Source organism: Homo sapiens, chromosome 8, assembly GCF_000001405.40.
Source record: "Homo sapiens chromosome 8, GRCh38.p14 Primary Assembly".
Taxonomy (NCBI): Eukaryota; Metazoa; Chordata; class Mammalia; order Primates; family Hominidae; genus Homo; species Homo sapiens.
The window spans coordinates 40,769,208-40,793,082 of record NC_000008.11 but is presented as its reverse complement, the minus strand read 5'-3'; the positions used below and the strand labels follow the sequence as shown (position 1 = coordinate 40,793,082).

At 39.2% G+C, this 23,875-nt stretch overlaps 1 protein-coding gene across 6 annotated transcripts in view; it reads left to right on the top strand.

Annotated features, from left to right (window-relative positions):
• Positions 1 to 23,875, top strand: part of ZMAT4 (zinc finger matrin-type 4) — a 367,237-nt gene that overhangs the window by 104,744 nt on the left and 238,618 nt on the right. For 2 of the 6 annotated variants that reach the window (XM_024447275.2, XM_047422237.1), the window contains one exon: positions 6,301 to 6,394. The exons of the other annotated variants lie outside the window; for them this stretch is intronic. The gene's annotated coding sequence lies outside the window, so the exon portion shown is untranslated. The remainder of the gene's footprint in view (positions 1 to 6,300; positions 6,395 to 23,875) is intronic. 6 annotated transcript variants of the gene reach the window in all.

Below are 23,875 nucleotides of genomic sequence, written 5' to 3'. Positions count from 1 at the left end.
GCTCAGGGCTCACTCTTTGTGTTATATCTTTGATGAGTGTTGACAAGTACATAATATGTATCCACCATCACAGTATCATACAGAGCAGTTTCCCCAGCTGAAAAATCCTGTGTGCTCTGCCTATTCACCATCCCCACACCCCTCAGGCAACCACTGATCTTTTTGCCATGTCCATAGTTTTCCATTATTTAGAACATTATATAGCTAGTATCATATAGGATGCAGCCTCTTCAGATTGACTTCTAGTACTTAGTAATATGCATTTAAGTTTTCTTTATGTCTTTTCATGGCCTGATTGCTTAGTTATTTTCTTTTCCTCCCCTCTCTTCCCCTCCAGTCCCCTACCCTTCCCCTCCTCCCCTCCCCACCTCCTCCCCTCCCCTCCCCTCTCCTCCTCTCCCCTCCCCTCCCCTCTCCTCATCTCCCCTCCCCTCCCCTCCCCTTTCCTTCCTTCCTTCCTTCACTTCCTCCCTCCCTTCCTTTCATTCCTTTCCTTCCTTTCCTCCCTCCCCTCCCCTCTCCTCCCCTTCCCTCCCTCCCTCCCTCTGTCCCTTCCTTCCTTCCTTCCTTCCTTCCTTCCTTCCTTCCTTCCTTCCTTCCTTCCTTCCTGAATACTATTCCATTGTATGGATGTGCCATGGTTTACCTACTAATCTATTGAAGGATATCTTGGTTGCTAATGGCAAGATTTTTAATCTTATCATTATATTAGTATTAGTGAACTTGAGAGGGGAAAGTGGCCAGTTCAGGGAATATATAACTATTTATAGTCTCCTTTTTAAAAATAAAACAAGACTTTTGTCAGTTTATAAAAGAAATAAGGTTGAACCATATGAAATTGCCAATATTTAATCCTTTTTTCACATACAAAAATAGTAGTTTCATATGGTTCAACACAGCATATGCTCACAGTATATAGCTCACATACAGAAATGTAGAATATTGAAAGTGAAACATAGGATTTTTTTGTAGGTAAGGAAATACAAAATTAATGTAAAAGTATTTTCTGCCTCAAAGTCCAGTCAGACTAGTTTCAACCCCATAGCTAGTTTTAGTCTTTTTAATCCCAGAAAGAGGTGAACTCATTGCATGCTGTGGGTGGATAGCAACACTGGTGGATTTTGAAGCAACCCACCCGGACATGGAGTTATGGCCCCTCTGCTGTGCAGCGGCCCTCCTGATGAAGTTAGCTGGTGCTCATAGCTATCCAATTTATTGACAAGCCAGTGGACACCAGGGCACAGGGCTGGCCTCCTATAGCTTCCTTGTCTGTGGGCTATAAGGGAGAGCTTCGATTTCTCAGGCTAAGACAAAACATGGCAGAATATGCTGCTCAGTGTAGTGAAAAGTGTGCTGGTCTTAGAGTCCGTAGTTGGTCAATAGCTATTATTTAAAAAAATCTATGTTCTGAGTTCTGGAGATCTAGCAGTGAGCAATTCGGACTATTCCCTGCCCTCAACAAGCTTATATTGCAGAATGCTGGATGTGGGTGTGGGGAACTACATGAGCAGAAGATGGCCCAACTCAGCCATGAGCCAGGGCGAAGGACCTGTGTGACCTTGGCTGGTTGCTCAGCCTCTCTGAGCCTTAGGGTTTTTGGAGGATCAGAGGAGATGGGCTATTGATAGTATACATGAAATCACTTTGTAAATTGTACATTACTCTCTCAGTGTAGTTTCTGTGGTTATCTGTTTTCAAACTATAACCCTCTGCTTTGGAAGCGGGATTTCCCAGGCTTAAGTACTTTGGAGCTCCTAGGAGCGCTTCCATGTTACCTCTTATTCCATCATGATTTTGGAACCTGGTCACATCTGTGCTCCCCTGCACTCTCTGGATGCCATCCCATGCTCCTCCAGTCCCTTCTGAACATCTGTTCCCTGAGTGGGTTCTGGATATTTTTTCTAGAAGTTTTATTATTTTAGGTTACACAGTTAGATTTATAATCCATCTTGAGTTAATTTTTAATATGGTGCTGATATAGATCAAAGTTAATTCTTTTGCTTATGGATATCCAGTTGCTTCAGCATCTTTTATTGGAAAGAGCCGCCTTTCTCCATTGAATTACCTTTGCTTCTTTTTCAAAATCAATTGACCATATAAATGTGAATCTCTTTCTGGCCACTGTGTTCTGTTTTCATTAATCTGTTGGTGTATATTGATAGTAATACCACACTGTCTTGATTACCATAGCTTTTTGATAATCTTGAAGCAGGTAGTGTAAGTTCTCTATCTCTGTTCTTTGCTTTCACAGTTGTTTTGGCAATTCTAAGTGCTTTGCATGTTCAAATGCATTGTAGAATCTGTTTGTCAAATTCTACAAAAAATGGCTACAGAGGTTTTCATTGGAATTGCATGGAATCTGTAAGTAACTTGTCAGATAATTGACATCTTAACAATATCAAGTCTTTAATCCATAGTATTAATATATCTCTCAATTTTTTTGTTTTCAATTTTTCTCAACAATGTTTTGTATTTTTTAGTGTATAGGTCTTGCACATATTTTGTCAGATTTATCCCCAAATATTTCATATTTCTGATAGTATTATAAATGGTATTTAAACAATTAAATTATAAATGTTATTCTTTAAAATTTAAATTCTCTATGATCACACCACTGCATTCATTCTGGGTGACAGAATGAGATCCATCTTTTTAAAAATATCAATTTCTAATTTTGTGTTGCTAGTATGTAGCAATGCAATTGGTTTTAGATATCAATCTTGTATCCTGAAACATTGCTAACCTATTGATTAGATCTAGAAGCTTTTAAAACCATTGTTAGCCTACCAATTAGATCTAGAAGCTTTTAAAATAGATTCTGTATTTTCTACTGCTACAATCATGTTGTTTAAGAATAAAAACAGTTTTTTTTCTTTATTTTGTGGAAATAAATGAAGACCATCCAAATGAAAACAAACAAAGCGTATTTATTCAGAGCTTGCTATAGCAAGAGAGTCAGCCACAATCATTTGTGTTTAACAGAGACTCAAAGGCAGGCAGGGGAGTGGGGAAGCTTCATGGTGGAAAAGAGAGGGAATCATGTATGCCTTGACTGGAGGTATTGGCATGGGGAAGCTTTAGGTGGGTTAACTAGAAGTGGGGCAGTGTACATGACTGGTTTGGGGTGGATATTTGGCTTTTTTTCCAGTTGGTTCTAAGTTGGAAGTGGGAGCAATATGAGAAAAGCTGTCAATTACTCATTATATTCTGGCTGTTCTGTGCTGATTGCTACAGGAGTTATTGTTTGGCTTTATGGGCTGTCTGCTACACAGTAGTTTGCCTTCCTGGACTCATTACTGCAGATAGTAGGTTGGCTTCCCAGGCTGATTGCTACAGTTTGTGGGTCAGAGTACTATTTGTTTTTAATTTTTAATTTTTGTGGGTACACAGTAGGTATGTATATTTATGGGGTACATGAGATATTTTGATACAGGTATACAATGCATAGTAATTACATCAGGGTAAATGGGGTCTTCATCCCCTCATGAATTTGTCTTTTCTTTGTGTTACAAACAGTCCAATTATACTCTCCTAGTTATTTTAAAATGTATAATAAATTATTATTGACTCTAGTCACCCTGTTGTGTTATCTAATTTTTGTTTTTATATATGGTCTGACCATTGTCCATTTGCATATTCAGTCTTTCATTTTGCAATTTTGATGCACTGAATTTCTTTTTCTTGCCTTATCATGCTGGCTAGAACTTCCCAGTACAATATTGCATATAGAAAGGGTGACAGTAGACACGTTTGCCTAATTCATCTTGGAAAAAACATTCAGTCTTTCACCATTAAGTACAACGCTAGCCGTAAGTTTTCATAGGTGCCTTTTACAGGGGTGAGGAAGTTTCCTGCTATTCCTAGTTTGCTGAAAGTTTTCCTTTTTAAATCAATTTATGTTTGAGTTTCTCACACCCTTTTTTTTTGGCATCTATTCCACAGTTGCAATGTTGATGTGAATTTTCTTCTCCCTTCTTCGCCTTCCCTCTCTCCTCCCTCCCTCACTCCCTTCCCTCCCTTCCCTTCCCTTCCCTTCTCCTTCCTTCCTTCCCTCCCTCCCTCCCTTCCTCTTTTCCTTCCTCCCTCCCTCCCTTCCTCCCTCCCTCCCTCCCTTCCTCTCTCTCTTTCTGTAGGTATGATAAATTCTATTAATTGATTTTTAAATGTTAAATCTACCTTGGATTCCTGGGACAAATATCCTTTGGTCATGATGTATTATTCATTGTATATGTCCTTATATTTGATTTGCTAAAAATTTGTTAAGAATTCTTATATCTATGTTCATGAATGATATCAGTTTGTGTTTTTTTTTTTCCTTGTAATGTCCTTGTTTTTGATATCAGAATAATACTGGCATCAGAATGAGTTGGAAAGTATTCCCTCTTTTTCAATTTTGGGAAGAGTTGGTGTACAATTGGTGTTTTTTTTGTTAATGTTTGGTAGAATTTCTTAGTGAAACCATCCAAATGTGATGTTTCCTTTGTGAAAAGATTTTAACCACAAATTTAATTTCTGTCACCCAGCTGAGATTGTGCAGTGGTGCAATCTCAGCTCACTGCAAGCTCTGCCTACTGGGTTCACGCCATTCTTCTGCCTCAGCCTCCCGAGTAGCTGGGACTACAGGCACCCGCCACCACGCCCGGCTAATTTTTGGTATTTTTTAGTAGAGACAGGGTTTCGCCATGTTAGCCAGGATGATCTCGATCTCCTGACCTCGTGATCCGCCTGCCCCGGCCTCCCAAAATGCTGGGATTACAGGCGTGAGCCACCGTGCCCAGCCTATTTATTCTTAAGCTTTGGTAGTTTGTTTTTTCAGGTAATTTGCTCATTTCATCTAAGTTGTAGAATTAATTGGCAGAGTCATTTATAATATTACCTGATTATTATTTTAATATATGTAGAAGGAGTCATGTTTTTTTATCTCTCATTCCTGATATTCATGATTAGTGTCTTTTCTCTATTTGTTTCCCCATTGGTCTGAGTAGAGATTTATCAGTTTTACTGATCTCAGACAACCAGCTTTTGCTTTCATTGATTTTCTCTTTTGTATTTCTATTTTTGTTTTCTTGATTTCCACTATAATACTTATATTTTTTCCTTTCTTCTGCTTTCATGAGGATTAATTTATAGTAGTCCTCCTTATCCATAGTTTTGCTTTCCACAGTTTCAATTACCCTCAGCCAACCATGGTCTGAAAACATTACAAGGAAAATTCTAGAAATGAACAATTCATAAGGTTTAAGTTGCATTCTTTCCTGAGCAGCACATGAAACCTCACACCATCCAGGTTCATCCCGCCCTGGCTGTGAATCCTCCCTTTGCCCAGTGTCTCTGCACTGTGGGTGCTCTCTGCCTGTGAGTCACACTTGTAGACCACACGGGTTGTCAGATCCACTAATGAGGCCTCACCATGCTTGTGTCCAAGTCACCCTTACTTGACTTAATAATGGCTCCAAAGCACAAAAGTAGTGTTGCTGGCAACTCAGATATGCCAAAGAGAAGCTGTAAAGTGTTTCCTTTAAGTGAAAACATGAAAGTTCTCAACTTAATAAGGACAAAAATTGTATGCTGAGGTTGCTAAGATTTACACAAGAATAAATCTTCCATCCATGAAATTGTGAAGAAAAAGAAATTTGTGTTACTTTTGCTGTCTCATTTCAAACTACAAAAGTTATGACCACAGTGTGTGATAAGTGCTTAGTTAAGATGGAAAGGCATTAAATTTATTGATGGATGACATGGACAGAACATGTTCTGATTGACAGCGATGGGGATTGGCACTATCTGTAGTTTCAGGCACCCACTGCGGGTCTGGGAACCTATTCTATAAAAGAAGACTGCCGTACTGTTCTTTTTCTAGTTTTATAAGGTGCAAGCTGAGGTCATTGATTTCAGATCTTTCTTCTTTTCTATTATAAGCATTTAGTGCTGTAAATTTGGGATGGCATTTCAAAGTCTCCATATAATGAATACGGAGTGTTAAAATTGATTGGGACACTTGAAATTCTCATATTCTATCTTTACATTTTACAGTTAAGGAAACATATATTAGTCAGCATTTTACAATTAATTTATGTACCACTCTTGGTGTTTATTGAAAAAATTTCTCGGGTGAAACCAGTTTTGGAATGTTACCTATCTTTATATTCAGAGACAGACTCTGTCTGTTCTGTTTTAATCTTGTTAACTGAATCCAAAATTACATTCTAGTTACTCTTTGTGGGCCTAGAACAGCCTTCAGTGAAATGCAATCCCAATTTTCTTCTGTAAGCACAGTCTGTTTGTTCCCATCTATCCTAGGGTCCAGAATTCTTGAGGAAGGGGAATTTCATTAGACATACTAAGCCAAAAGAAGATGTCACACTGAAGAAGGTGGCTGTGTGAATTCTGACCCGTAAGTTGGGAGGCACAAGGACTGAATGAGGATGGTTAATGAATGGATGTTCACAGAAGGAGATGCTGAGATTTCACAAGAGAATAACCAGAACGTGCATGCTGGCTGTTCTTTGTTTTGGTAGCAATAACTCAACCAAAATACTTCACATTCCAGATTACTTAAGGAGGTATATTTTGACCCTTGTTTGTGTACGGTATGCATCAGAGGTTTGAAGAATGAATGAATGAATGAATGAATGTCATGTACTTCTGTGTACTATTTACCTTCTATAATTCATAACCATTCAACTTTTCTCATAGCTGAAATATAGCATAACTTGTTTTTCTTTTTTTGGTAGAATTGGTTTAATCTAGTAAAAAAAGCCTACGAATATTAATAGGACTCAAACCTTTGTCAATTTCCTTTCTCACTTTGGCCCAATTTTGTAAATTCACTCTCAGCAGAGAGGAGTAAGATTAGAAATACCAGAAATTGGATTGAAATGTGACTTAGAATCAACACATCACCCCCTTGTTGAAGTCCAGAAGAAAGGGCTGTGCAGAAGAGAACAGATGGTTGTGTTTAAGGCACAAATTTCTTCTGGCTTCCTAATTCAGCAAGGAAGAAAGGAATCCACAGCCACAGCCTCCCCTTGGCTGCTGTGTTTTGTCATGGAAGTCAGAAACAACTGCAGTGGGCTGTCAAGGAGCTGAAGGCAGCTAAACCCTCTCTCCTTTAAAAAAAAATAATGGTCATCGTTTTCCACCCTTATTAACCAGTTTTCAGAATCTTAGTACATTTCTATGAAACAGCAAATTATTTAGCAGGTAAAAAAAAAGTGGGCCAGGCTTATTTGAAATCTAGCTAAGAGCAGATGGTGGGAGGGAAAGGGTTATGCATGGTACTGCATAATGTGGTGCCCAATAACGTTAGGATGAAGACTTTATTATTTTCCCTGGATGAGAAAATGTCCAGCCTGAATGCATGATTACATTGGTTAAACACTTGTCAGTAGTTTTGGACTAACTTTATATGTGCATATTTATCTGTAGGCTGACTTTTGTGAAGAGACTGAATCAAAATTAGATTGTCAAAAATGATGAGGGTCAGGAAGAAATTATAGAATCCTGACCATGTGTTTGAGAAAGACAAGCAGAACTGAGTTTGACAGACACTTCTGTTTCCTTTGCTTTAACTTCAGTCTGAGACAGTGAGACTAATTAATATACCAGAGGTAATCATTTCAAACCAAGGAGCGTTTTTTGGACACCTACAGTACATTGTACCTTGTTAGAATATAGAAGATCTAACATGCATTGTTCTTTGCCAAAGGGTTGTGGTTTGGAACCACATGAGACAAGCTGGGCAGTTATTAATCTGTCTTTTATGAATTGCCGAAATGAAAATCAGAAAGGGCTAAACTATGTGGCCAAGACAATGAGAGCTGTGAGAGGTCAGTATAGGATGAAATTAGTGTTCTGGAGATACAGGAGAAGATTTCAGAGACGGGTCAGTCTTGCAATAGACATTGAAGGGTCTGTTTACATATACATAGTCTAGTATATCAAAGGGAGGCATATGTGTATCCCAGGAACTGGGGTGAGAATCAGCAAACGCTTAGAAGCATCAATATGCAATGCGTGATCTTGGGTGCGAGGAAAACATATCCTGCAGTCCAGCACTGGAGTTAAGACTTTAGTCTCTGAAGTCAGAAAGCCTGGGTTCAAATCCTGGCTCTATACAGTGTGTACTTGTACAAGTTAAATATTATTTAACCTGAGAATGCAGAATGTTAAAAGTTCATAATATGTTTTTCAACTCAGTCTATGCAAGCCACCTCTCTTATTATTTACTGACTTATGTACTTTTATCGTCACATCCTGGGATGGATTTGACCTTAGGCAAGGCAGCTCTCTGCAGCTCAGGGGATCCCTGAAAAGGCTGGGGTTTGTCAAACCCCGGGAGCAGGGGTAATGATTCTCCGTTGAATGGGGATCGGGGCAGTGTGTCTTCACGTCCATCAAACTGATGGAACTCTGAGTTTTAAGGGTCTATGTATGGATTCTGGATAAATGTTTGTTATTATTTGCAAACAATACGTTTTAGCTCTTCCCTTCCTATTCTTAGATCTCTTTCTTTCTTGGCAGGGAACTCCAGTGCTATATTCGGCAGCAGTAGTGATAGTGGCCATATTTTTCTTGTTTCTAGTCTTTAAAAGAATGCTATCAATATTTCCGTATTAAGTATAATGGTTGTTATCGATTTTTCATATAACCTGTATGGAGAGAAGAACAGCCCTATCTTTCCCTAGCTACTTGAATTTTTAAAATATTATAAATAGGTGCCGGATTTTGTCAAATGATTTTTCCGCATTGATTTAGATATGCAGTTTTTCTTCTGTTAGTCTATTAATGTGGTGAATAATATTGATTTTTTCATGTTGTGCTATGTTTGCATTACTAATTAATCCATGATTGATCATGATATATTATTTTAAAAAACACAATGTTGTATTCAGTTTTACTTAAGGGTTTTGGCATCAACATTTAAAAGCAATGGACCTATCAACCTCATAAAATGATCTGGGCATTTGAACCTCTAAAAAATATTGTTGGTGGTGTTAGTGGTGGTGGTGGTGGTGGTGGTAGAGAAGAGAGGAAGTGGTTGGTGATCATTTCAGTTATTATTATTTTTTGAGATGGAGTTTCGCTCTTGTTGCCAGGGCTGGAGTGCAGTGGTGCCTTCTCTGCTCACTGCAACCTCCGCCTTACGGGTTCAAGCAATTCTCCTGCCTCAACCTCCCAAGTAGCTGGGATTACAGGCACCTGCCACCACGCCCAGCTAATTTTTTTATTTTTAGTAGAGACAGGGTTTCACCATGTTGGCCGGGCTGGTCTCAAACTCCTGACCTCAGGTGATCCGCCCACCTCGGCCTTCCAAAGTGCTGGGATTACAAGCGTGAGCCACTGTGCCTGGCCTCAATTTCTTTAATACTTGAGATTTTTTTCAAGTTCTTTTTTATTCTTGGGATTTTTTATCATGTTTCCTAGATATGCATCTCTTATGTTTATGTAGTTATTTATAGTAGTTTTTATAACTTTAATTTTTAAATAACAGCTTTATTTTGATATAAATACTATGAAGTTTACCATTTTAAGTGTATAGTTTGGTGATGGTTATTTGGTGGAGTTTTGCATGGATCACCACCACTGCTTCCAGAACATTTACACCACATCCTCCAAAACCCCTAAACTCACTAGCAGCATAGGTTAGTAGTATTAAACAAAGTCTGTGCCTATTCTCCCCTTTGTAAAGCCCCTAGCAACCATTAATCTATTTTCAGTCTCTGTAGATTTGCTTATTCTGGATATTTTTATGTGTAGAATCATATCATGTGTGCCCCTTGTTTCTGACTTCTGTCACGTAGTGTAATATTTCAAGGCATATCCATGTTGTAGCATGTGTGAGAGTTTCATTCCTTTCTATAGCTGAATGATATTTATCATAGGATATACTGCAGTTTTAAAATCCATTCATCAGTTGATGGATATATGAATTATTTCCACATACTGATTATTATGAATAATGCTACTACAGTCATGGACAAGTTTTTGTGTGAATATGTTTTTCAATTCTCATGAGCGTACACCTATGAGTGAAATTTCAGAGTCATATGGTAACTCTCACTTCTTCATGAACTGCCAAACTGTTTGCCAAACTGGCCACACCATTTTATGTTCCCACCAGGAGTGTGTAAGGTCTCAATTTCTCCACTTCCTTGGGGAACACTTGTTATTGTCTGTCTTTCTGATGGCCACCTTAGCATGTGTGAAGTGATATTCCAAGGACCTATTTTTCCAGTGACCAATGATGGTGAATATTTTACCAATGACCAGTGATGGTGAGTATCTTTTCATCAACTTATTGACCATTTGTATATCTCTTCTGGAGAACCAATACCTCCCCTCAAGCCTCACAACTCGCACCTTGACTATAAATCCCTTGTTCTGATTGTATTTGGAATCAAGTCCAGTTCCATGCTGGAGCATTTCTTCCCTTCTTGCAATAGTTTTTGAATGAAATCTATCTTTACCACTTTAACATCTGCCCAGCTCTGGTTTTCTTTAACTAAGTCCTTTGCCCATGATTTTAATTGAGATATTTGTCTTTTTATAATTAAGTCGAAAAAATTGTTTACACATTTGGGATAAAAGTCCCTTAACAGATACATGATTTGAAAATATTTCTCCCATTCTGTGTGTTGTCTTTTCACTTTCTTTTTGTTTTTGTTTGTTTGTTTGTTTGTTTGTTTGCTTGTTTTCGAGACGGAGTCTTGCTCTATCACCAGGCTGGAATGCAGTGGCATGATCTCGGCTCACTGCAACCTCTGCCTCCTGGGTTCAAGTGATTCTCCTGCCTCAGCCTTCCAAGCAGCTGGGACTACAGGCACCCACCACCATGCCCAGCTAATTTTTATCTTTTTAGTAGAGGCGGGGTTTCACCATATTGGCCAGGCTGGTCTTGAACTCCTGACCTCGAGATCCACCCACCTCAGCCTCCCAAAATGCTGGGATTACAGGTGTGAGCCACCGGTGTCTTTGAAGCACAACATTTAAAAATTTTGATGACATCCAATTTATTTATTTTTCTTGTCACATGTGCTTTTGGTGTCACATCTAAGAAGCCATTGTTTAACTCAAGGTTACAAATATTCAAAGGCTTTTATAGTTTTGGCTGTTACTTCAAGGCCTACAATACATTTTGAGTTAACTTCTGTATATGGTAGGAGGTAGGAGTCCAACTCCACTGTTTTGCATATATTTAATTGTCCCATCATTATTTGTTGAATTGTGCTGGCATGGTTGTCAAAAATCCATTAACCACCAATGGAAGGATTTATTTATGGATTCTTTTCTTTTTTTTTTTTTTTTTTTTTTTTTTTTTTGAGACGGAGTCTCGCTCTGTTGCCCAGGCTGGAGTGCAGTGGCGGGATCTCGGCTCACTGCAAGCTCCGCCTCCCGGGTTCACGCCATTCTCCTGCCTCAGCCTCCCAAGTAGCTGGGACTACAGGCGCCCGCCACTACGCCCGGCTAATTTTTTGTATTTTTAGTAGAGACGGGGTTTCACCGTTTTAGCCGGGATGGTCTCGAACTCCTGACCTCGTGATCCGCCCGCCTCGGCCTCCCAAAGTGCTGGGATTACAGGCGTGAGCCACCGCGCCCGGCCTTATTTATGGATTCTTAATTCTATTCCATTGATCTATATATCCATCTTTATGCCGGTACCACCCTGTCTTGATTACTATAGCTTTTTAGTAAGTTTTGAACTGGGGAGTGTGAGCTCTCCAACTTTGTTCATTGCAAGATTGTTTTGGCTAATCTGAGTCCACGTGAGTTTTAGAATCAGCTTGTTCCTAAGTAGTTTTTTTTTATGCTATTGGAAATGAAGTTGTTTAATTTCATTTTTAGATTGTTAATTGTTAGTGTTTAGAAATGCAATTGGTTTTTGTATTTTGATCTTGCTTCTTGCAGCCTGGCTGAATTCGTTTCTTAATTGTAATTTTTGGTGGATCAGTTAGGATTATGTCATCTGCAAGTAGAGAGAGTTTTATTTCTTCTTTCCAGTTTAGATGCTTCCCTCACCTCCCTCACCCCCACAATTTGTTGCTTAATTGTCCTGTTGTGAACCTCCACTACAGTGTCAAATGGAAGTGGCAAAAGGGGATGTTCTTGTCTTGCTCCTCATCTTAGGGGGAAAGCTTCTGATCCACCATGAAGTTTGCTGGTAGGGTTTTTCACAGATGGCCCTATCAGGTTGGGAAACTTCATTGCTATTCCTAGTTGTTGAGTGTTTTTGTCATGAGAGGGTGTTAGATTTTGTTCAAAGCTTTTTCTGGCTCTATTGAGATGATCTTAGGGTTTTTGCCTTTCCTTCTATAAATGTGGTACATTACATTAATGGGTTTTCATCTATTAAACCAATAAATCTTACTTGGCCATGGTATATATTCCTACTACCTAATATGTCTGCTTTATATTTTTTATGATTTCATGTTTTTGCTTCATATTGGTAATATCTTCTCAACTTCTTAAATATACTTATCTTTCTTATTTAAAAGTCTTGGTTCATATATTCCAATATTTTTGTTTCACTTGGTTTTGTGCCCGTTGCCTACAAGAATGTCGGTGCTCCGGACTAAAACAGGAACATTGAGCAAGGGATTTGATATAGGAGGAAAGATAATGGTTCTTTCTGGAAGTGCAGACAGTCCCAAACTTACAATGTTTCAACTTAACAATTGTTCGACTTTATGAGAAAACGATACACCTTCTGTAGAAGCCATACTTCAGTACAGTATTTAATAATTCACATGAGATCGTCAACACTATATTATAAAACAGGCTTTGTGGTAGATGATTTTTGCCAGCTGTAGGCTAATGTAAGTGTTCTGAGCATGTGTAAGGTAGGCCAGGCTAAGCTATGGTGTCGGGTAGGTTAGGTGTGTCAAATGCATTTCGATTTAGGTGATGCATTTCAATTTCAGTTTACCGCAGGCTTATGGGGAGAAATCCCATCGTGAGTCAAGGAGCATCTGTACTGAGTTTCAGTAGGGTGTTCGGATAGCTAAAGGGCAAGGTTGTGAAGGTGGTTAGGAAGAGGAGAAAAAAAAGTTGGGAGGGGAGGGAAAGATAAGATTCTGAGAAATGAAAACTGGCAGTTGAAGAGCTTGAGAGCTGGAAGGCATTAGAGCAGTGCCCCTGCCAAAAGTGGGCTTCCTTCATGCTCCACACCTCTCAGCCTGCTGTTTTCAGGTTGCCGGCGGGTTGGCCTTGAGACTATTTCTCCCTGATTTTGCCTCTCACTGAGGTGCTATCCAGCTGAAGCCAGAAGACAGCTCACTCAGTCTGGTTTCTTTTCCTGCCAATCTGGGCTTGGCAGCCACCAGGGAGAGATGGGAGAGTTGAAAAGAGAGGAAAGGAAAGCCGCAATTTTTAAAAATCCATTTTCCTAGGAAGCACTGGGGGAGCTGGTGAAACATCTAATGCCCCAAACTCTATCCCTAGTAATTCTTATTATTCAGTCACGAAACTGCCTTTTAAAAAAACTCCCTGTGATTCTGAATAGGTGATCCAAGGATCAAACTGAGAGAGAATGGAAAGGAAAGGACTCTTGCAGTTTGACCTCCGGCAGTCCCCTCTCAGCTCTCCCCAGGAGTGGGTGCTTTGCGTGCCCTCACCTCTAGAAATGTAAACCTCTGCCTGTGTTTCTCTCTGGCTTCTCTCTGGTCCCTCTAGTTGAGGGAGAGGCATGACATAGAGCTCTGGGCGTTTCTTGGTGGGTGGGTACTTGCATTAGTTCAGTTTTCACCCTGCTGATAAAGACATTCCTGAGACTGGGTAATTTATAAAGAAAAAGAGGTTCTACGTGGTTGGGGAGGCCTCGCAATCATGGTGGAAGGCAAAAAGCATGTCTTACATGGTGGCAGGCAAGAGAGAATGAAAGCCAAGCAAGAGAGGTTTCCACTTATTAAACCATCAGATCTTGTGAGACTTATTCACTACCATGAGAACAGTATTTGGGGAAACTGCACCCATGATTCAATTATCTCCCACCAGGTCCCTCCCACAACATGAATTATGGGAATTATGGGAGCCACAATTCAAGATGAAATTTGGGTGGTGACACAGCCAAACCATATTAGTATTGATTAAATACAGATAATATATTTCCAAAATATATAATCCAGCTTCTCTAGCCAGGTGGTTGAGTTGAGGATGCATTACAATTTAAAATAAAAGTCCTGCAACTCAAAAAATCCTCTACTCAACCACCTGGCTAGAGATGATGGATTACGTATTTCAGAAATTCCCTGTTTTTCTTTCATCATGCCATCAATTGAAAGCAACCTGCAAACAGACTAAAATCTGGGTCTTTGAGTAAGCAAATAGAAAAATTGAAAAGCAGGTGGGGGTTGAGCTGCAGGTGATAATGGAATTGCAGCTGGCAGCATGTTCCTTCTTCCCCTAAGGCCTGTAAAGTTGGATTAAATAAAACAAATACTGGTGGAATAATCAAATATGCTTTGGAGTACTTAACTCTGTTTGGGGACTCAGAAAGATGGGATTCAAAAGAAAAAATTTCTGTTTTCCCGTCATTAGGTGAAACAAAGCTGCTTACCTATTTTTCTACAGTATTATAGCTGGCCCCAGCTGCACTGGTGAGAGAATTTTCATCCCTGCCCCACTTCCACTGAGTAATTTTCTGTGCAAAAAACTGACTCAAGGGTGGGGAGGGCAACATTAGTGTAGAGATGGGAGCAACAGATAGGCTGTTCTGTGCACATTATTTTACACTGAGAAATGTTCTTTATAGAATTCGCTGATCACTTTTTTCAGGTTATAAATGTTATGTATTCCTAGAAGTATTTTTTGAAAATAATGTGGATACAAAATCTTCAAAAATAAAGTCACATTTTAAGTGCACCCTAGGAATTTGACTTTTAAAATATAATTTGATGAGAGATGGAGAATCTCTTTGTTCAGCAAATACTCTACAATTTTGTTTGTTTAGTTAATCCAACTTTTTCTTCTATTATTGCTCTGTTTAAAGCGAGTTTTGTTTAAGTTGTGTTTACTGTAATCCGATTTACCTAGCTACTTAAATAGTTAACGAGTATTTAAAGAGCAACAGCCCTGTGCAGAATATTTAAAGGTGTGTTGTGGGGTTGGATCAAGAGAAATGGAAGATTCACTCAGAATAACCGAGTTCAATTTGAGAATAATTAATGATACATGCTACAAAGTATAAAGTAATAGGGTAAAAAGATAATCTAATATAAAAATGTTATACAGAATAATGAGGTGATCAGAGTATGTTGGGGGAGCTCCTGGGAGCCTTGTTGCAGCTGTTGACCTTATTGGGGTTGTCTGAGAGACTGCCCTGCCTGCCTTGTCATTCACATAAGGGTGGGGACACTTGTCCGTTGTTTTTTCCCACAGACTAAACCTCACTCGAAATCAGTGGCTATCCATTCACATGTGATCTCTCTGTGGCCCCTCTCAGTGATCCCAGGTGATCCAGCCATGCCCTCCGCCCCTCTGCCCAGATGCTTCAGGGGCCCTGCTTTTCAGGCTTGCCCTCACCAGTGGCCATCGGCCAACACTCAGGGATGTAGCTAACACCACTCCACCAGTGCTTTCGGTAGGAAGAGCTGAGGCTGCCTGGGAGGCCCGGGGCAACAGGAAAAGGGCTCTCTCAAGAAAAGAGAATCTCCCACCAGATCGAATTGCAACCCCTAAGCTTGTTCAGCCTTATGGTCTGAATTCAGATTAGGTTGTCACTCAGTCTGAGATGTCAGGAAAGGCCTTCTGCAGACAAAATGTCCCCTCTCCCCGCCCATCTGCAGCCAGGTGTGTGCTGCACGGCAACCTTCCCAAAACATAGTGTGGATTTTAAAAATTTGTTTATTTTTGTTTCTCAACCACTTTATAATGTATTTTTAAATTTATTTTGTAATATCTTGTTTTTAAGTATTGCTGCTATCCCTGTTATCCTTCCCATTGTTTTCATCACTGATTTATTTTGTGAAAGTTGTACACTGTTGTTCTGTTTTATGTCAAAATCAAAAGTATTTAATGAAATACTAGTTCTATTTAATGTGGTTATGGAACCAGCTGGAAACACAAAACAAACAGTGATTGTACAGCAGGCTGGACCCAGGAGGTCAGGTTCATTTTGTTACATACGCAATAAACTCATGACTTTACAAAAAAAAAAAAAAGAAAGAAATCGGTGGCTATCACACTAGTCCTTGCTCTTGCCAGTAGTGGGGTTAATTTTTGGACTCCACACAGGTTCTTAGTCCAGCCACAAATTTTATAGAAGAAACCTGAGACATCAGAAACTGTAGCTCAGGATTGGCTCATGTTGTTTAAGATTCCACATTTCAGAAGGATTTGTTAACTTTGTTACTTCACATTACCCAGTCTTCTCTGACTTTAATACTGATCACATTGGCTTTATTTTTTCTCTTATCCCTACCTTTAACTTCTCTTCAAGGGCTTTCTGGGGAAATAGTGCTTTTTTCCCCAAACTGCAAAAGAGAAGCCTAGATGAGCCTGTGTTCTTTTATTTCTCATGTGACTCTGTTTAAAATGCACAGACATCATAGAGACATATTTAGCTCTGTACTGAACACCACAGAAAACTGTTCCTCCAGGCTTTGGTGGTAATTTAATTTTTTGAGTTGCAGGACTTTTATTTAAAATTGTAACACGTTGATGTAGTCACTTGTGTAGGCAGACAGCCACGTAGATAATTACAAACATGATTCCACAATCACAGGCACTGCACATCCCACCGTACATGATTTTTTTCTCCAGCAAAAATTTGCTTTTTCCTAATACTTTTTATGGTAAGTGTTCCTCACTTTAAATGCTGTTTTAAACATATTTTGGAAGAAACGAAGTGACCTAATTCTAGAAACATTGGGACTACCCTTTTTGCTTTTGGAAATTGAACGGATTGCTGTGTAGAAGAAGAAAGACCCCAGGAGAACATCTAGTGTAGATGGATGGCATATGTATTAGTCAGCCTAGGCTGTGTCATAACAAGATACCAGATTTGGGGGCTTAACCAACAGATATTTATTTTTTTGCTGTTTTGGAGGCTAGAAGTCCATGATCAAGGTGGCAGCAGGGTCGGTTTCTGGCGATGGCTCTCTCCTGGCGTGTAGACAGCCGCCTTCTTGCTGTATCCTCACATGGCCTTTTCTCTGTGCACATGGACAGAGAGCACAATCTCTGATGTCTCTTCCCCTTCATATAAAGACACCGGTCCTATCAGTTAGGGCCCCACCCTTGTGACTTCACCTAACCTTAATTACCTCCTGACAGACCCTGCTTCCAGATACAGTCACATTGGGCATGAGGGCTGCAACACAATTCAGTCCAGAATAAAACAAATGTCCACGATCCTATAATTAAAAGCTAAGGCATGGCACCTTCAGCCACAGAAGCCTGCATATCTGATCACAGGTCTAAGGACACTTTACCAAGCTAGTATCTAGTGGATCCCTGACTCTTGGAAACAGTAGAGGAGTTAATTCTGCCTTGTCCCAAACCTCTCTTCCTCAACACACTGCCTCTGTTTGAGCTGTGGACTCTGCAGCAAGACAGCTGCCACCCTGAATCTCCACTTTTGCACCAGTTGCAGCAAACCCTCAGTTTCTTCAGAGCTTATGCTTCAACTGCAGTCTTCATCAGCTCACCTGCTGAGACGTTTCCTCCACCGTGCACTCTGTCAAATGCCTGTGGGCAATGCCGCTTAGGACTATCTCTGGTCTGTGGGCTCCCTTGCTCCTCTCTGACCTGTACTGCAGCCATGGAGTTTAGAGATGGAAGTAGATGTGTGAGTCTTTCAATTTCATTTTTGGAACGCAACGGGATCTGTAACAACATGTTTCAAATGTACACGACACTTTTACACAATGGTCTTAATTCTTCAAGGGTCTTGGGTTCTTGTTCCGAGGTTAACTTATTCTTTCCTTCACATGCTCAATCACTGAAATGACAAATCTTTATTGAGCACCGGCCATGTGTCAGGCATTGTGATAGATTTTGGGGATACAACAGTGAAACCAACAGATATAATCTCTGTTCACTGAAAACTTGTAAGTTGTGGGACCTTGAGAAAATCTCTTGGTCTTTCTGGGACATATATTCCTCATCTTAAGGTAGGACTATTAGAATGATAAATCATCAGTGTTAGAATGAATCTTTAAAATGATGATTTTTCCATCTGATTATTGGAATGATTTGATCTTCTAAGTAATCTAAAATTTCAAAAAAGCATTAATAAGAAAACTTAAAGTCACTTGTAATCCATATAAACAATGCTAATCCTTTTGTACATTTCTTCCTAGATCTTTGCCTTGTATATGCATACAGATGCATATACGTTTTTGTTTAAAAATTTATATTCTGATTAGAAACTGCCTTTTAATATTTATTATATATATATATTTCTATGTCATTGAATATTATCATTATGCTTGCCAGTGGCTCTTTGGTATCTATTATATGGATATATTACAATATTTATCCCTCTTGTTTTAGGGCATTTAACTTATTTTCCCATGTTTACTACTATAAATAAATGGAAATACATGTCTCTGATTGCTTCCTTAGAATAAATTCAAAGAAGTAGGATTGTTGACTCAAACAAGTTTTTGCTTTGGATATATATTACAAAATTTCCATCCAGGAAGCTTGTATCAATTTACATGCCTATTATCTATGTACACAAGTGCTAGCTTTTTCTGCATCTTCACCAATATGGATATATATATTTTGTAAATCCTTGCCAATTTGATGGGAGAAAGAAACACATTTTTTAAATTAAACAGTTGTAAGGTAGCACTTGGATGAATTTCTTTTTGTAAGTCTTTTAACTATTAGTATTTCTACAATTCCTATTTCTATCCTTTGTCTATTTTAATGTTGTTTCTTTCTGAATAAATTTGTGAGGACACTTCTGATCTCAAAGATAGTAAAGCCATTTTCTTTTACATGCTGCAAATATTTTTCCTACTTTGTGGTTTTCTTCTTACACATACGTATTTCAAATTTGTAGCCAGGTCCATCAGTCCTGCATTTTTTTCTTTCTTTGCTTAGAAAACTTTCCCATCACAAGGTTAAATATATTTTCCTAGTTTTCTTTTAGTCCCAAATTATTGACTCTATTTTGGGACTTTTTATTATATTCCATGTATTTGTCTGTTTATTCTGCCATTAAAGCCATATTATATTTGTTCTGTTTTTTCATATATAAGATCTTTAGTTTCTTTTTTTTTCTCATTTTACTTTTTATTCTAAGCATTCTAGAAATTGTCTCTATCTTGACTTCTACATAGATCTCCTGTGTTGATTCTGCTATTAAAGTGAAAGACCTTCAAGATAAAGCTATGATGTTTTGAATTTCCATTCTGTATTAACTCAGACCCTAATACCTTATCTCAATCTGTTGTCTTATCTCATCTTTCAGCTTTTACCCTGTTGATATTTTCTTGAATTAAATGACAAAAAAGTGCCATTTAAAACTTCTACTTATTGTAGTAAATATTTTGCAAACAATTGCTTAATTTCCTTGATAGTTTCTCAAAACCTTCTTTCATATTTTTTTCACAGTTTTTTTTTTATAGATGCCACCAATCTTTGGCAGAGCAGAAGGTTATTAAAGCCAGCCATGTTTCCCTGCTATGTGTGATTGGCCTTGGATCTTTCCAACATCTACCTAAAGCCTTTTAGAATCTTCTGATTTGATTTTAGCACTAGGACTCAGTTAAAGACCATTTCAGTAGCCCAGTGGCCTGGGCAGGAGGTCTGGGACCTGGCACCTCGGGGTCTTCCAGCAGAGGAGTTTGACTTCTTCCTTCCCTATGTTGGAGAAGCCTTCCTTTAGGGACCAGCTTTCTCTTCCTAGAGTTTTAGTTGACCCATCATTCATTCTAGGTACACGGAGTTTCTGTGCCCAATGTTCTTCCCCTGACAAATAAGAGAAGATACATCCATTTGGAAAAGAGTTCCATTCGTTAGAGGGAATCCCCAGCACTTGTGGTTTTCTATTTGTCTTGTCTGCATTTGACCCTGCCTCCTAGTGAGACCATGCTGCACCTTTTCCAGGGCTCATCCCTGGGACCCTCAGTGAAGGGATGCTTCCTGGGGTTTTGCCAGGATGCCCTTTCATTTCATCCTGTGTGATGGAGTCCCTCATCTCGCATCAGCCGGTTGTTTTGCAGGAACCCGTGTTCTAGATGTTTGGTGTTTGCTGTCCCTTCCCTATTGGCTCCTCTTCTCCCCGGAATGACCTCAAATGTGGTGGCATGTGAGAATCACTCTTTGTTCCAGGTTTTCCTGTTTTATTGAGGTCCTCGGCTTATTTTAGCTGGTTTCTAGAAGAGGTATAATTAGATCCTTCTGATGAAATAAGATGGTGGAAGACTTATCTAGGAAATCAGAAATGGATCTTAAAGCTTATTTGAGATAACACCTCTCCTGCCAGCCTCACAACTGTGATTCGGGGATGAAATAAGATGATGAAGGTGGAAGGACTTTGAAGACTGCCTGAAGCATTATGCAAATACAAGGTTGCTTTGTTATCGCCACGTTTTATGATACCAGAAATCAGTAGCCCTGCTGGAAGCAAATTTGAGTTGTGAATTTTTTTGAGGCATGTGTGATAATGGAAGATGGTTATTTAGGTGAGGCAAAAAGCCATTCTATTTCTATGTGTTTCACCTCCTTCTTTCACAGCAATACATCTGAAATAGAGGTTTGTCTTGTTCTTTATTCCCCCAAAGAGAAGGCTGGCCTGAATTTCCATTTTAGACTATTTCCTTGAGTGCCAAGAGATTGTTTCAGCAAAAGAAACTAATCTTCAGATAGGTCTGTCCCCGCACAATGCCTAGGATCGGGGGTAAAGGCTTTAATTAAAATGGAAGAGTTGGTAATTTCTGGTTGATCTGGGAAGCTTAAAGTTGATGTGGTTTGAATGAAATAAATGAGTTTTGCTCAAAATGCAAATATTAATGCAAAAAAGAGCCTGGGATTGACTCTCAGTGTAATTGGAAGAGATTGTTAATTCTTTTTCATGTCTTTTCCCTTAATGTAATGGTTCTTTTTTTCCCCCTGAAACTCTGTAATATATACATTTAACAAGTGGGTATTAAGTGTTCTCCTTAAAGTTCTTTTCACTTGGCAGTTTGCCTGTCTTTTCAGACTCTTAAAAGCAGTGGAAATTTTGGTACTAATAAATCTTGGGAAAAAGTAATAAGGATGTGTTTTTGCTTGTGTTTATTTGGATGACGTAAGAGCCAGTTTCAGATGTAGCTTTTCCTCCAGTCCTTCACAGTGTAGTTGTGCGTATAGCTTAGGCCTACCCATCCTCTAGTCTCTATTTATACACAGAAAGTGAAAGTGACACTTATGTACCCTGGCATATGTATGTACTAAAATGAAGTTTTAAAATTGGAAGTAGCATATATTGCTCTTGGGTTAAGAAGGCTCATCTAATACCAAGTACTCCAATGAAACAGAAATGCATTTTGAATGTTAATAAGACATTAACAAGGGTTGATGAAAATGTGGACAATTATACCAGTATACATTAACAGCATTTCTGATCAGTGATGCTTTTTACTAATTACAATAATTGTGGGTAAAAAGTATACACAATGTGAAATCAAAATGGCTTAAGCATTGCAAAATTATTATTATTATATTTATGTTATAGGCAAATTTGTTATAAAAATAAAAAATAAAAACCAGTCATACTCCCCATATCCTAATGAATCATGGGTTTTTTTTCTTTTTCTTTTCTACCTGTATTATCTACTTAAGCACTTTTGTGTAATTGTAATCATAGTATCTGTGCAGTTTTGAGTTTAGCATTTTTCTTTCAACATTCATTATATATGTAGGTACATATATATGTATATATATAATATACATTTAAAAACCTTTATATATATGTGAGTGTGTGTGTATATATATAAAGTTTCTTCCCCCCCGCAATTCTCCCTTTAACACAGGGCATGCCACGGCTGCTTTATCAGCCTTCTGTTGTTAAATCTGCAATTGTCTCCCTAATTTTTTGTTCCTATTTAGGTAATGCGGCAATGGATATCTTTGTTTCAATTAATTTTAACTTTCTTGTTGTAGGAAAGTTTTTGTTCATTTGTTTGTTTTTTAGAATAAATTGAAAGGAGTGAGATTACTGTGCCAAATCTCATAGAATTTCCAGTAGGTACAGGGTAGAGAGGAGCCAGTTAGAGGAAGACACTGTAAGTGTCTCAGAGTCTCATTTAGAGAGAGGGGTGAGAAAGCCAGGAAGAAAGGAAAGGATGGCTGAGGTGGGCGGCTCACTTGAGGCCATGAGTTAGAGACCAGCCTGGCCAACATGGTGAAACCCTGTCTCTACTACAAATACAAAAACTAGCCAGGCGTGGTGGCACGCTCCTATAATCCCAGCTACTGGGGAGGCTGAGGCAGGATAATTGCTTGAACCTGGGAGGTGGAGGTTGCAGTGAGCTGAGATTGTGCCATTGCACTCCAGCCTGGGCGACAGAACGAGACTCTGTCACAAAAAAAAAAAAAAAATGAGAGAGAAAGAAAGAAAGGGAGGAAGAAAGGGAGGGAGGGAGGGAAGGAGGGAGGGAGGAAGGAAGGAGGGGGCTCCCTGGCAGGTCTCCATCCTCAGGTGCCACAGGCCTAGGTTGGAGGCAGGGCAAGCTGTAGAAACCCCAGGAACGATCTGCAGGGAACCTCTTTCCCTTTGTCAACCAACGTAATTTGGAAGCAGCTTTGGATTTGAGTCAGGCCAATTGGGAATGTGACTCCACACTCCTCCCCCTGAGAAGTCTGCAGATTTTCACTTCCTGCTGGAAGTTGTGGGCAGGGAAAGCAGTGAATCTGGTCCAGGCACCTTGGGGAAAGCAAAGAGAGGGAAAAACGGTGCCCAGGGAAAAGGAATGCTGCTAAATAATGAACTAGGATGCCTCCGCCATCATTCCAGAATCAGGTGGTATTTGCCAAAGCTCTGATTTTCCTCACCGGAAACCCTAGGCAAGGGCACTGCCTGAGGTGTAGCCATTCCTTTTCCTGCCAAAACTGGAGGTGGGGGGCCCCGAGGGAGGAAAACAGGCCTGTACTGATCAAAATCACTAATAAGCCTCAAATCCCAACATCTCACATCACTAATGGCTTCATATCAGAGCTTGGCATTTATTTTCCTTTCCTTTTCAGCCAATGGGTTCTGACTAGTTTGTCTAGCTGTAATTAAATAACTCAGTGAACTCTGCCTTTACTAGAAGGTCTTTTTAAAAGAAATGGAATACTTTAGATTAAGAGGAAAAAAAAAAAACAGCCACAAACCAGGCCGCATGATGAGATTTCCAGTTTTGCCATAATTTCATTCTCTGGAAATCCAGAGCTTTAGGAGATTGATAATGCAGGGAATGTGAAAAGAAGTTCCTCTATGGTAACAAATGTAAAATTGAAAATCCACTTCAGCCACATTTGAGCTCACATTGTTCCCACTTATTTTTCCACCCATTATCGTCTGCGTGCTTTATCACCAGCTCAGGCTCTGTCCACATTCAGCATCTTGCAGGTTAAATGTTCCTTTTTATTCTTTTGACTGTAGTAGTAGTCCCAATATAACCATGACTCCTTCCTTACCTCTAAAATACCCTCAGCAAAATGGCAGAAAATATGTACAGATGTTAGTAAGCTGCAAATTTATTTGCAAAGAGAAAAATATAAGCCTGCATTGTCATTTTCAAAAACATGTAGAAGCCGCAAAATAATGTTGACTCATCTGACATACATCTACATGTCTGTTTCTCTTAAAAAATCTTCTAGACAAAAATAAACAAACAAACAAACAAAAAAAACTCCAGATGACCTTTGATTAAAACCTACTATGTAACCTAGAAATGGT